This window comes from Homo sapiens, chromosome 14 (genome assembly GCF_000001405.40).
Source record: "Homo sapiens chromosome 14, GRCh38.p14 Primary Assembly".
Lineage (NCBI taxonomy): Eukaryota > Metazoa > Chordata > Mammalia > Primates > Hominidae > Homo > Homo sapiens.
The window spans coordinates 64,134,677-64,149,970 of record NC_000014.9 but is presented as its reverse complement, the minus strand read 5'-3'; the positions used below and the strand labels follow the sequence as shown (position 1 = coordinate 64,149,970).

At 40.8% G+C, this 15,294-nt stretch overlaps 1 protein-coding gene across 28 annotated transcripts in view; it reads right to left on the bottom strand.

Annotated features, from left to right (window-relative positions):
• Positions 1-15,294, bottom strand: part of SYNE2 (spectrin repeat containing nuclear envelope protein 2) — a 464,854-nt gene that overhangs the window by 76,479 nt on the left and 373,081 nt on the right. For all 28 annotated transcript variants that reach the window (XM_047431152.1, XM_011536576.3, XM_047431149.1 and 25 more), the window contains 6 exons: positions 11,988-12,184; positions 9,898-10,030; positions 8,448-8,630; positions 7,883-8,029; positions 6,023-6,199; positions 3,748-3,903 (listed from right to left, as the gene is read on the bottom strand). In XM_047431152.1, the coding sequence (XP_047287108.1) occupies positions 3,748-3,903; positions 6,023-6,199; positions 7,883-8,029; positions 8,448-8,630; positions 9,898-10,030; positions 11,988-12,184 (993 nt within the window). The remainder of the gene's footprint in view (positions 1-3,747; positions 3,904-6,022; positions 6,200-7,882; positions 8,030-8,447; positions 8,631-9,897; positions 10,031-11,987; positions 12,185-15,294) is intronic.

Here is a 15,294-nt window from a genome sequence, read left to right as displayed (position 1 = left end):
GAACAACCACACACGGTGGGGTTGCTCGTTTCTTTTGCTCTGCAGAATAATACGGATTTAGCCCAGTAGTCCTGTCATCTGACCTTGCTTCACTGAGGCCTAACAGTACCCTTCAAGTTTCCCAACTCCCACTTCACCGGCAAATTAATTTGTCTTACTTTAACTTCCAATTTGCTACACATAAATCAGGGTGGAATTAAAAATAATCTTTTGCTAATTATGGAGATTCAGTAGAATTTGCAAGTCCTATTTTTCCATTCTGTGAGAACCAGCATTAAATATTTTTAAAATATCTAAATTCCTCTGACTTTATCACGAACATACTTCTTTAAGAAGCTGTGCTTGCTTATAGTATAGAGGCATCAAACTTGAGGGATTAATAATCTCATCTCAAACCTCCCCACTCTATTCAACTATACAATTTTCCTTGATAATTATAATATGTCAAACGTGGCCTTTTTCCAGTCATCAATGGCTTTTAGAAGCCCTTCGGAATATTTCAATCCTAATGTCTTCATGCTTCATCAACTCCAGTCCTTAACTTTTCTAGAGTAAAGCCACTTTAGCAAGCTTACCTGAACTGAAGCATTCTGCCCTGGGATAAGTCATTAAAGTATACATCAATCATTTTCATCATTTTCTTTTCTTTTTTTCTTTCTGTTTTGTTTTTTTAGAGATGGGGTCTTATCCAGGATGGAGTGCAGTGGCATGATCATGGCTTACTGCTTGAACCTTGAACTCCTGGCTCAAGTGATCCTCCTGCCTCAGCTCCCGAGTAGCTAGGATTACAGGTGTGCAACACTATGCCCAGATAACTTTTTTTTTTTTGGTAGAGACTGGGTCTTATGTTGCCCTGGCTGGTTTTGAACTCCTGGCCTCAAGTGATCCTTCTGCCTTAGCCTCCCAAATTTCTGGGATTACAGGTGTGAGCAACTGCACCTGGCCTCATTTTAGTTCTTGTATGCAAAGAATAGTGGAAAAAAAAAAAAAAAAAGAGAAATTAACATTTATAGAAAAGCAGCCTTTTAGGTCTATTAATAGATATATTCAGGCAACTATTAAGCACCTATGAATTTCACAGGCAGTGACAGGTATAACAGGCATGCTGATGTGCCAGCCTGCCTTGAGAATCCCACAATCTGGTAGACGACAGACCCGTGGACAGATGAGCCCAGTACAGTCTCTGACACATGATGCTACATGGGGTGCTAGGGAAGCCTGTTTTATTTATTTGCTTCCATCTTGGCCTTGTTTATGGCCTTTTACAAAGAGGCATCCAAGCAGCAGCATAAAAAATTAAAATAGGAAGAAATGAGCTAATGGAAATGTGGGAGTAGGTAGGAAGGCACAGTCAGTGGGCACGTGGTGAGGGAGGGGGTCAGGGTGCTTTGATTGAGTTCTGACAAACATAGAGGAGAACCTGTGTGTGGATGGTGGGGGCGAGGGGAGGGAAGTAGAAATAATTCTGCAATCAGCTGCAAATGTAATGGCACAGAGGCAAATGGGGACTGACGAGGGATGATGCCGGCCAGGCATGTCTGTAAATTTCTTTTAAAGCCCCTTGTCTCAGTCAACACTAGTCATTTTTCTAATGAGCAGAGCAAATGTGAGAAATGGTTTTCTATTGGTAAAATTAATGGATTATTATTGTTATTAGAGATGGGGTCTTGCTTTGTCACCCAGGCTGAACTACAGTGGCATGATCATAGTTTACTGTCACCTTGAATTCCTGGGCTCAAAGGATATTCTTCCCTTAGCCTCTTGAGTAGCTGGGACTACAGGCATGCACCACCATGCCCGGCTAATTTTTAAATAGTTTTTTGTAGAGACGGGGTCTCACCGTCTTGCTCAGGCTGGTCTCGAGCTCCTGGACTCAAGCAATTCTCCCACCTCAGCCTCCCAAAGTGCTGGGATTATACACATGAGCCACTGCGCCCGGCCTTAATGGCTTATTAAATAACATAATGAGTATTAGAAATGGGTTCTCACTAGTAAATTTCATGTACTCAAGATCCATGGATTGGCTAAACTACCGTAGATATAATTTCCACCCCTACTTGAACGGCTATAAGAACTGGGCATAGCCTGTTGCCTTCAACTAGTGCAATAATCCCTAAGGTAAGTCCTTATGTGGTTTTTGTATCCAGTTTAAACTCCAAGGATTCTGGTTGCCTAATGTTGGCCATAGAAATAATGGACTCTTGCTTCTGGAATATTACTATGTCTGCCTTTCATGCAAAGCGGTGGTTGGTGTGCTAAAGAGGGCAGAGAGGCTTTGCTGAACTTAGTTATATAAACTATTTTTAGTGCTTGCTTGCTAATCTATGTTTCTACAGATGGTGGCATTGTGTCTGGAATTTATTTTATTTACAGCTTGGTAGTGAGGTTGTGGGAAGAATAGCTAAACTTAATCCATTTCGACCTTGTTCCGTGGCTACCATTATCTATCAAAAAGAGAAACAACTGTGTAAGACTCACTTGACTTAGGTCTATTTGCAACTCTTTGTAGGTGAGGGACCAGAATGTCATTCTAAAACATGTGAACTTCATTCTGTGGTCCATCTGGAGCCACTGGAGGATTTTCCAGTGGAGAGTGTTGTGACCCTTTGCATTTCAGAAATATCCCTCTGCAGCAATGTGGAGAATGAATCAGAAGGAAATGAGGGAGGAGGCTGGCAAGTGGGCTGGAAGCAGCTGCATGAGACAGGCCTGCACTGAGGGTGGTCTGAAGGAAGCCGGCCTGACCGAGACAGACTGGCCAGACAGTAAGGAGTAAGTCAAGAGCACCTAATGAGAAACTGTATGTAGCGACACGCATGAAAACACCTCCTGGGCTCTGGAAAGAACCACCTACTAGGGGACAGGCCAGCACCAGGCTGCGGAATGTAGGCTTCCAGTAAGGAAGCACATGACTCCAAGGTGGCTGTCAGAAGGCTAAAGTGGAGATGGCTCATTGGGAGGTGGGAACAGTATACGAGCAGGTGAAAAGGGCCGCTTACGGTGGTGCTGCTGCTCACATTTATGTCCAGTGCTATCCCGTGACCTCCTCAGTAGAAATGGGGTCCGGCCAGACTTTCCAGTCCTGACAGTGACTATTGTAAGGCCGTCACGCAGGAAGTGCAGAAACAGCACAGCGTGTGCCGCCTGCCGTGATGGCGATGGCAGAGGTCCTCTGAATGGGCAGCAGCCACAAGGGCAGTGCTAAAGCAGGATCAGTGTGCAAAGACTGAGTGATGCGGCAAAGCATAGCTGAACCACGGACAACACCCTCAAGCCCAAATGTGATTCAGCAGAGGTTCCAAGGGACAAGTGAACTTTTTAAAGCATAATACACAATAGGTAGAAGAAAATCATTTTCCTCGAAAAAACACAGAATGAAATGCTAAAAATAATGAAACCTTTAGAGTAATTTTGTAACATTAGGCAAAATGATTAAACAAATGGAAAATTGGAAAGCATTTAAATCAAAATTCCCTTTGAACATTTTTCCCCAAGAGTACTACTCAAACCTCTTAAGAGCAGCAATACTGTAACGGTGAAAGTACATTCTTCTGTTTATCATAAAAAACGGCACTTTGCAATTTTGTAAAACCCATGGGTCATTATCTAATTGACATAAGAAAATAAGTAAATAGAGGGGAGCTGGAAGAGAGTTTCCACAAACTACAGCAACTTATCCTCGGGGCAAGAGAGGTGACCGAATCACCCCAGCTCGCGGGTTGGGTGGGATGCTGTTCCCCTCCTCACCTGACAGTCCAGGAGCAGCTTCTGCACTGAGATCACACTTTCAGGTTTTTGTAAAGTTTTCAGTCTCTCTTCTTGTGCTTCCAGCCAGTTGTTCAAGATCTGTATTTTATTTTCACTCTCAGTGATACTTTCTAGAAGTTGTTCTAAATGTTGTATCTAAGTGAATGTAAAGATTACAAAAAATGTTAAAATGTATGTTTTAAAAGGTAAATGCCATGACGTTATTTTTTAAAAAACAATTTTGCTTCTTTTCAAATTTCTAATATTTCATGTAATAAGATGCTCTGATAACTTTTGAATAAAGATTCAAAAATCAGAAAACAGAGTTAAAGCTCCTCTTAGGAAAAAAATATCATATTTAAGGTGAAAGCTAATCTGCTGAGAAAGGTAGCTGTTGTGGAGTTTCAGATGTATACAAAATAAAATGTTCCCAACATTCGATATTTTTTCATTGTGTCATCTATTAATATATGTAAAGTATAAGAAAAATTTCTTTCCTCAGACTTTCTGCATTAGAGTTGCTTAAAATTTCTACCAATATCAATAAAAAATAATTTATCAATTCAATAAAATAATCATTGTCTTTAATGTCTGTGATTCTCATTCATAATAAATTTTTTATTAGGTCATAATCATAATATACACACATTTTTATATTCTTTTTTACATACATTATAACTACTGTGTCATGACATAATTTTTTTTTTTTTTTTTTTGAGACGGAGTCTCGCTCTGTCACCCAGGCTGGAGTGCAATGGTGCAATCTCGGCTCACTGCAACCTCCACCTCCCGGGTTCAAGCAATCCTCCTGCCTCAGCCTCCCTAGTAGCAGGGATTACAGGCACGTGCCGCCATGCCCAGCTAATTTCTGTATTTTTAGTAGGTCAAGAAAACACCTGACCTTGTGATCTGCCCGCCTCGGCCTCCCAAAGTGCTGGGATTACAGGCATAAGCCACCACGCCCAGCCTGTCATGACATAATTTTAAAAGGCTGCCCGGCCAGGCGTGGTGGCTCTTACCTGTAATCCCAGCATTTTGGGAGGCAGAGGTGGGTGTATCACTGGAGGTCAGGAGTTCGAGACCATCCTGACCAACATGGTGAAACCCTGACTCTACTAAAAATACAAAAATTAGCTAGGCGTGGCGGCAGGCATGTGTAATATCAGCTATTTGGGAGGCTGAGGCAGGAGAATTGCATGAATCTGGGAGGTGGAAGTTGCAGTGAGCCGAGATCGCGCCACTGCACTCCAGCCTGGGCAACAGGGCGAGACTCTGTCTCAAAAAAAAAAAAAAAAAAAAAGCTGCCCCAATGTTTCATCAAATTAATACAGTATAATTCGATGAACTATTCCCCTAGAGTGAGAATTAAGGCATGGTACATTTTCACAGCTGTAAACGATGCTGAATTGAACACTCTGTGCACATCATTTACTTTTTTGAAGGACTATCTACTTAAATGTGTAAGAGGTGACTTGCTTGGTTAAGTGATAAGATTATTATTACGGTTCTTTACATTTTCCAAATGCTTTCCAAGAAAGTACTTAAGCCATTATCAGCAATGTATGAACGTGACAGCTTTGGGTTTTTGTCCTTATCTGATTAATTTTTTTTCTAATTAAGTGCATTATGTTACACAGTGTTTATTTTGAGTATCTGCTAATGATATCTTTCCATGTTTATTTGCTAACTATAATTTCCTCTTTTGTGAATTGTCTGTTCATGTCCTTTGTCCATTCATGTACTTGTATCTTAATTGTGTAAATCCATTTGTATGCATTCTCTACACAGTAAACACACCAATTATCATCATGATTATATGTAAAGTATTTTTTCAGGAATAAGTTTTCCGAATCTTTTCAAGAGTCATGGAGTGAAAAATCTACCAAAAAGCCAAGTGCATTTTTCTTTCTTTTTATAACCTTTTCAAAGCTGAAATAGCTTTGCCCCTTTTGAACATCTGCTTTCATAGAAAATGTAAAATCTCTGATCATTTAGGAGTCTGACATAATACTTGACATGTTCCTAAATAAAATTCCTCATCTTCACTTGCCTAGCTCAATTTCCCACTAAGAAATCTCAAATATAAGAACTATTTTTATATTCTCTTATAGGTACCAATGGAGAATGCTAAAACATAGGATTTATAAAAGGGCTATAGTTGAGATGATTATTAGGCTTAATAATCAGTCAACTAATTGAACGTCTTTTTTGATTTTTCAGAAAGTGTGTTTCATAAAGGTCAAACCACACATCCAGTTGTGACGCAGGAACACACCTTTCTATTCAGCATTCCATGTACACGGTGCCACTGGCGGTTCATCTCCCCCAGGTGCTCTGCAAACTCCGTTCTTTCATAGCGCTTGCTTTCTACATCACAGGTGCTTAGCTGAAGTAATGACTGGTTAACGAAGTCAACTATCCACTGTTTATAGTCCATTTCCATTCTAAACTCCTAAAATAAGCAAAGTTAAACACCAAAGCAGTCATGAATGTTGGTCAGATCAAATGGATTTCCCTTTATGTGCTCGAGGGGGCACCAAGCTCCCGTCCATTAATCAAGGGGCACCTGTCAGGAGTTCTGTTCTACCCTCCCCAACCTACACCAGGAGTTGGCTTTATTGGAGTAGGGATTCTTTTGGGGAATTACACAGAGATGCACTGCTTTCAAATAGGCTGAAAAGTCAAAGGGGCACTATGTATGGCAGTTGCTATCATCTGAACCCTGACCACGACCCAGGATATGACAAAGCTTCCTGGGGGAGGCTGCCTGTCAGCTGTGCTGGAATTCTGGGCCATCCTGAGGGCTCACGGAAACAACCAGATGGGAAATAGGAAGTAAAGTCTCTTTCAGAAAACCCAGGACACCTTAAGGAACTCTGTCATTTAGGCAGCTTCCCTGTTCCTTCGGGGATAGTTAAGGCCTCTCAGGTGGCTTTAGAAAGTTTGGGTGGCTTTAAGTTGTACAGCAATCCTAAACCCACCCAGGGCCAACAACATTTCTGCCAAACCTGTCACTTACTGATTTTATCTCTGCAAGTTCTAGCACCTCTTTTGGAGACACCCGGGGGTGACAGTCATGTGGTATGTGCTAGGTTGCTAGAGCCTGTGAGAATATACACGTGTAGACTTTTCGAAGATTTTACTACACACTGAAGTTAGGATGTGATGGTACATAAAAACAAAATTCTCTGCTAATATCTTGCTTGGTGATTAAGCCATTCATCTTCTGCCTACCAGAAGCTAGTTCCATCAGCCTGCATGGTCTTAAAGCAATGACCACACTTGTCACTCATCTTTGTATTCCCAGTGGCCAGCATAGTGCTGAGCACACAATACACGTTTGCATGTGGCTCATGAAATGTTAATTAAATCTACTTGAAATTAAATATCACAGAGAAGGCCACATTTATATCTATTTGTAGAAGGATCTCAATATTTTCTTACTCATTCTCTTACTCAAAGAACATTTCATTAACACCTGTTAGAGGAAGGCAGGTATTGGGATAGGCGTGCTATATTTTAGCAAGGTGAAGGATGGCCCCTGGTCTCGAGAAGCTCAGTCAAGGTGGGGAGACAGGCAAATAAACCAATAATTATAATAATGCATGATAGGAGCTACTAATAGCATCATGGAGACATCTAATCCAGGAAAGTCACCTAGTCTGGCTGGGAGAGTCAGGGGTGGATTTGCAAACAAGGACAACTCGAGCTGACTATGGAAGATGACTAAGAGGACGTATACAGTTAAACGTGGGCCCTGGCATTCCAGGTAGAGGGTGCAGCATGTACACAGGATGATAAGGGAGAGCACCAAGAACAGTTAAGGAATCAAAATCACTCTGTCAGGCAGAGTCTGTGGTTATTGGGGGTGGTGGGATGGGGATAAAAAGGTGAGACCACAGTCTGTTAAAAGCTTGCTTGGATTGTCCTGTGGTGATGGGGGCTGGCAAAAGGAATTTAAGTGGAACAAAAGCAAGTCTACTAACATCTCTCCAGAATCATCCACCACCCCAGTTTCCTACCCCTAGAATTAGTTTTTTGAAATTATATCCTATGTGTCCCTTTGTCCAGCATTACCCCTCTGATTAGCCTTCTTGTTTCAATGAAAAGACTTCTGCTCCTTTTGCATAATTACCTTGTGCTTCTGAAGAAGATGTTTAACTTGAGATGCAGAACTTGGTGAATGCACGGAGTCTTCATCTGAAGTTTGATGCTCCACATTGTTCATCCAGCTAATCATTTCTGTGATTGCTTTACGAGACGGCAATTTCTCCATTTGAAGCTGTAAGAACAAAATGATTTCCATTTAATTGCCTGCAGTTAACAAAATGAATCAGAGCATCACTAAAGATGATATCTGGTTTGATAAAAGGTCTTGCTATATAATTATGCAGGTTACTCAAAAAAAAAACAAACCCAGCATTCAAACTTAGAATAAGCGACCCCAAAACAATGACAATGACCTTCACATAAACTAACACAGTGGCAAAGATAAACTGAGAAATAAAGTAATTAAGCCTGATTTCTCTCTTAAGAAAAATCCCATTGGAGGAGGGTCCAGTAATTAAGACTTATATTCAGTGGTGCCAGAGAAAAATAGGTAGTGTCAATGAAAATTATTGAGTCAGAGAAATAATTTTAAAAGAGTTATGAGCTAACAAGTGAATGCTAATTCAAATGCTGAGGCTCTAAAGACTTACCTGGTGAAGTTTTTCTTGAATATCTGGAAGTTGAGTTATGAGCATTGTCCATTTTTGTTCAAACTGTGCTAAAGAAGCTCTCAGTGTAGCTGTATCAGTTTCTTTCAGGTGAAGAAGCTGGTTCCCGATACTGATAACGGCAGTCTTCAAGGAGGATTTTTCATCAACTTCTTTTGAAAACTCCTAAAGGAGAGTTTTAAAATTTAGAAACTTAAAATTTAAATATAGCAGAAAGTAAGAGTCGGAATAACTGGCTAGAGTCAACAAATAAACATAGTAAATATACGAATGTGTATACACACACACACACACACCCCTTTTTCCTACTGTTGGGCATTACATACACGATGGGGAACAAAAGAGATGGAATGCATACCCCTCAAGAAGCTTATCACCCAGTGGGTTAACATTTTTAAAAATAAGTCATTATTTAAATGGGGTAAGTTTTACAATAAACTATGGAACCCAACACAAAGTGCACATTAAATGAATTACTTGCAACAAGTTTGTAATTAAAATGTTTAAATCTTTCCTATGTAGAAATTCTTTCAAGTATGTTGAAAAAATTTACATTTTAATAGCAAAGTTAGTAATCATAGCTACGAAGTATGAAAAATAAAAAAAAAACAGGAAAAGTCTAACAGAAAAGACTACGTTTCATAAATGCATTGACCAATAATCATTTTGTAATTATATTACAAGAGTAATACATTTTTATTTCCCCCAAAATTTGGGGGATATTTTTGAATTTTTTTCCAAAAAACACCTCAAAACAATGGAACAAAAGCTTTTTAGTAGAAATATCAATTTTGTTTACAATAATTTAAAACTATGCATTTATTAATGTTAACATTTATAAGTTAATAACCTTATAAAGTTGTTTTTGGGTCTTGTATTTTTTGTATTTGTAAAACATGACCTATGTCAGTGCAAGTTTTTTGAGACTGAGTTTCACTCTTGATGCCCAGGCTGGAGTGCAATGGCGCCATCTCAGCTCATTGCAACCTCCACCCACCGCGGTTCAAGTGATTCTCCTGCCTCAGCCTCCCGAGGAGCTGGGATTACAGGCATGCACCACCATGCTCGGCTAATTCTGTATTTTTAGTAGAGACAGGGTTTCTCCATGTTTGTCAGGCTGGTATCGAAATCCCGATCTCAGCTGATCCACTGCCTCAGCCTCCCAAAGTGCTGGGATTACAGGCGTGAGCCACTGCACCTGGCGCAAGTTTTAAATTCAGATATATTTTATGGGGTCAATTAAAAACATATTTTATTATAAACGAATGAACAGTATAAACAGTTCTAGGTTTGAAGAACACAGCTGCCATTCGCCCAAGTCTTACCCCTTATCCACAAATAAATACGAAGACTATCACATCAACCCTGATGCTTTTTCCTTGATATTTATTTCTGACCAGTAATTAACTGAACATATGCTATTACAACTTACAAAAAAATTGTTGATGTTGCTTCTGATTGTATCCAAGTCCTGAGACACATTGAGGGACTGTTCTTTCCAGTAATTCAGAGTATGCTGGGAAGATTCCAACCACTTGGTTAACTGATCCGAATCTCTGTTATAACTAACAGGAGCAAAGTGAGAGAGAAGGCAGATTAGAAACATATTCTGATAATGATATGCATCACCAGCAAATTTTCTTATTTTATTGTATGTCCTCCTATGTTGATCAGTCCTAACATTCAGAATATCATGACGTTAATAAGGATTATATCATGTTTTATACCATGATGCTCCTGGCATTTTCTAGGACTCTCTTCATTACAGCTCAGCAAGAACAGTGAGGATTTTAGGCCAGATGTGGTGGCTCATGCCTGTAATCCCAGCACTTTGGGAGGCCGAAAAAGGTGGATTGCCTGAGGTCAGGAGTTCGAGACCAGCCTGAAAAACATGGTAAAACCCTGTCTCTACTAAAAAATACAGAAAATACCCAGGCATGGTGGCAGGCGCCTGTAGTCCCAGCTACTCAGGAGGCTGAGGCAGGAGAATCGCCTGAACCCAAGAGGTGGAGGTTGCAGTGAGCCGAGATTGCGCCACTGTACTCCAGCCTGGGCGACAGAGCAAGACTCTGTCTCAAATAAAAAAAAAAATAATAATAATAATGAGGAAGTCTAAAGCATTCTTTATTTCTTATTACAGCTACACAAAAGTATACCCAATGAAGGAACAGAGATTTTTATCCATCAAATGTCTTCTATAAATTTGTTTATATTAAAAATATAGGTCAGGCACAGTGGCTCACTTCTGTAATCCCAGCACTTTGGGGTAACAAGGTGGGAGGATGGCTTGAGCCCAGGAATTTGAGACCAGCCTGGGCAACATGGAAAAACCCCATTTCTACAAAAAATACAAAAATTAGCAGGGCGTGGTGGCATGTGCTGTGGTTCCAGGTACTTGGGAGGCTGAGGTGGGAAGATTACTTGAGCCCAGGAGGTCAAGGCTGCAGTGAGCCACGATCACGCCACTGCACTCCAGCCTGGGTGACACAGTGAGACCCTGTCTCAAAAAATAAATAAAATTACATACACACACACACACACACACACACACACACACACCATACATACACACACACACACACACACACACACAACCAGCATTTGTATAAGCTGTATAACAACAAACTGCTGCTGGCTGAACACCCAACGTATTTGCCCGAGGTAGTGAAAATATTCAAACAATATTCTGCCCTTCTTGTAACTTTTAAACTGCCTTAGATTAAGATGCAGGGATGAGAATGATGTTTAAATGTTCTATGTTCTCCTCCTTCCTCACACGGTTCAAGATTATACCAACTAAGCACAACAAATTCTCCAAAGAACTCAAAAGCCTATTTCAAACTATTCTGTTAGCTAAAATCATTTAATTTTTTTAATTTTAAAACTTTTGGAAAGAGCAATATCATGGTATAAAGGTAACCTATATATTATTTTATAACATAATTCCTAGCTTCTATAGAAATGTGTAAACTAGCTGGGTGCAGTGGCTTACACCTGTAATCCCAGCACTTTGGGAAGCTGAGGCAGGAGGACTGCTTGAGGCTAGGAGCTTGAGACCACCCTGGGCAACAATGTGAGACCCCATCTCTACAAAAAATTTTATAAAATTAGCCATGCACGGTGGCCTATGCCTGTAGTCACACCAACTTGGGAGGCTGAGGCAGGAGGATCGCTTGAGTCCAGGAGTTCAAGGTTGCAGTGAGCTATGATAGTGCTGCTGCACTCCATGCACTCCAGCCTGGGTGACAGTGCAAGACCTTGCCTCCTTAAAAACAAAAAAGAAAAGAAAAGAAAAGAAAAGAAAAAACGATCACAGCAAACTGATTACATGTTATACTGTGTCTAGCAAACCATCAGAGATTCTACATCGCGTTTAGCCCAGAAGAGGGACCCAACTGCTTTAGACTGCCCAAGAAAAAACAGCATAAGGTGGGTTGCAGGTAAAATTTAGTTGACTACAGAATCCCCGAGGTCTTTCTTCACAGCACAATATGAAGCCAATCCACCCCCAAAAAGGCTGACCTGAGCAGATGCTTGAGAAGAGCTTGCAGCCTGTGGAGCTCATGGTCAATTTTCTTGTTCAGGGACAACCACTGCTCTTCCAGTTTTGCGATCTGGCCCTCTAATTCAGGACAGCTCACAGACGCCACCAACTGTTTGCCTTCGTTCAGAGTTTGGTAAAGCCGGGCGTGTTTTCCACCAATGTTTCTTTTTATTTGCTAATAAAAAGTAAAGTCATAGAATGAATTATTTAGAAAATAAAGTCTGCCAAGCTATTCACAAATACTGCATTTAAAACTGACATTTGTGTCCACTGATAAAACAGTAACACTTTCCCAACATTCAAGACTATATAGTCTGACTGGATGCATGATTAATGGTTTATTGGTTACCTTTCATGATAGGTGTCCAATCTTGCATTTCTAGAGCACAGATTCAACTTTGTAGACTTACTGGCTGGATGCAGTGGCTCATACCTGTAATCCCAGCACTTTGGGAGGCTGAGGCAGGCAGATCACCTGAGGTCTGCAGTTCGAGACCAGGCTGACCAACATGGTGAAACCTCCTCTCTACTAAAAATACAAAAAATTAGCTAGGTGTGGTGGCGCATGCCTGTAATCCCAGCTACTTGGGAGGCTGAGGCGGGACTTGGTGGCGCACACCTGTAATCCCAGCTAGCCAGGAGGCTGAGGCAGGAGAATTGCTGGAACCCAGGAGGTAGAGGCTGCAGTGAGCTGAGATTGTGCCACTGCACTCCAGCCTGAGCGACAGAGCGAGACTGTGTCAAAACAAAACAAAACAAAACAAACCAACCAACCAACCCAAATCAACTTTATAGACTTATTGCATACAAACAAAAAACAAGCTGGCAGTCATTAGGCCATGCTGAGCTCACAGATAGGTTTTGTGTGACCTTAAGATCAGTTTGAAAAATCAGGAAATCTTACCTAATAATCAGGATTGCCAGTGTCTGTGGGAAAACTGGAAGACCTAGCAATTGTTGGTCTGCATCTCATGTGGCAAAGGGCGGCTGTAACTGAGCAGCAGCTGCTGGCTCTAGGAGAGCCTACTCCCTCTCCTTTTCCCTTGGCTCAGTCCCCACCACCCCTCTGATTGCAGAGCCAGTAGGGTTTCCTTATTTCTATTCTGCCCCCGAAAGCACTTCAGATGGTGACTTAGATATGAAGAGGATAAATAAAATAGTATTTCTCTATTATCCATGAGATGCGAATACTAGGCAGAAAAATTCATTTCCAGGGTCTTCTACTGAATATAAAGATTCAGTAGAGAGAAAGGAAGAAAACTTTAGAAAAATAAATTAAAACAGCGTATCATTAATCCAACTTCACGGAAAGAAAAATGAAATTCTTTGAAGAGAAGTCTGTCTAAAGGTAATTATCTAACACAGCTGGATTCAGCTAATGCCATTTATCCTGACACCTGTTTAATCTTAAAAAATAAATTATTAACAAAACAGAAGGTTTGCTATTTTCAAATTAAGTTAAGCCTTTTAAATCATTACCAAAAAATTCCACGTCCATAGCCCTTTCCACCACTCCCATTTGTAATCCCCTCCCCCCCGTGTCTGAGCATCTGTATTAAAAGAAAAAAAAATCAGTCTAATTTTCTAAGTGAAGTGCTAGATTCTTCACCTTTAAAACATCTCTGAAAAGTCTTAATTCACCCCCCAATTTTTTTTTTTTTTTTTTTTTTTTGAGATGAAGTCTCGCTCTGTCACCCAGGCTGGAGTACAGTGGCGCTATCTCAGCTCACTGCAGCCTCCGACTCCCGGGTTCCAGCGATTCTCCTGCCTAAGTCTCCCAAGTAGCTGGGATTATAGGCACGTGCCACCACACCCAGCTAATTTTTGTATTTTTAGTAGAGATGGGGTTTTACCATATTGGCTAGGCTGGTCTCAAACTCCTGACCTCAGGTTATCCACCCACCTCGGCCTCCTAAGGTGCTAGGATTACAGGCATGAGCCACCACGCCCAGCCTAATTCACCGATTGTATGCATGGGATACAGTCTGTGCACGAGTAACTAGGCTGAGCCAGCATTTGAACACAGGTTTGTTGACTTCAAAGGCCAGACAACTGACTCCTAGGTTCCATGCCCCACAGACGACGGCTGATCAAGATGACAACATCTGTCAGACTCACACAAACCTTTCCTTGATTCTGAACTGAGAATGGCCTATGAAGTCCATATGTGAGATGGGCTTTACAGGATATGTCTTCTTTAGTCTGGCAAATTTATTTAAAAGTCTTAGAACAATTTTTTTCTTTTTAATATTTCAAATGTAATAGAATCACACATTTTAACAGATATGGTCACTTTTGGAGAAAACAATCACACTCATATTAGGTTGGCTAATATTAGACTGTTGCTTAAAATAATAAGCCTTAAAATACTGTTCTCATCTGCATTCTTTCAGCTGTTTAGATGATACCTTCTGTATCCCTAGACTAACAAAGAGCTAAACAGTACTCTCATCACCCCCACTCCCACCCACCCCAGAGGACTCAGATTTACCTTAGAGTTAGGCTCAATATAATTAATAAGGCGGCAATGAGACCAACTGTAGCTTTCCAGGCATCTAGGGAGTATAAATACAGTGTCCCAGCCTCTGGAAAATGTTCCTTATAGAGGTTAAAATACCTCCATGGAAAAGAGAACCCTGGAATTATTTCCTGCTTTCATTTTCCAACTAGTTCATTCAGGCAATAAATGTGCTTTTGAGGTTTTAAAGTTGATATTTCATAACTGCCTCTAGCCGCACAACTCAGATTCTGACGGCATATATCCTAAAGTTAAAACTAGGAATTTTAAGTTCCTGGTGAGAAGACTTAAAACTTGTTTTTATCTTGTTGGTCATGTTCTCAATGTCACTTGAAAACTATTTTGAGGTTTTATCTTTTCTTTCGCACCAAAATTAGAGACACAGAGACAGATGATAACAACGCAAAAAGTTACACAAAAAAGTTTAAAAGTTTGAGGGTTTTTGTTTTTTTGTTTTGAGATGGAGTCTCGCTCTGTCACCCAGGCTGGAGCGCAATGGCATGATCTTGGCTCACTGCAACCTCCACCTCCCAGGTTTAAGCAATTCTCCTGCCTCAGCCTCCCAAGTAACTGGGATTACAGGCACATGCCGCCATGCCCAGCTAATTTTTTTTTTTTTTTTGTATTTTAGTAGAGACAGGGTTTCACCATTTTGCCCAGGCTGGTCTCAAACTCCTGAGCCCAGGCAATCCACCTGCCTTGGCCTCCCAAAGTGCTAGGATTACAGGTGTGAGCCATCGTGTCCGGCCTGAGATGTTTTTATAATG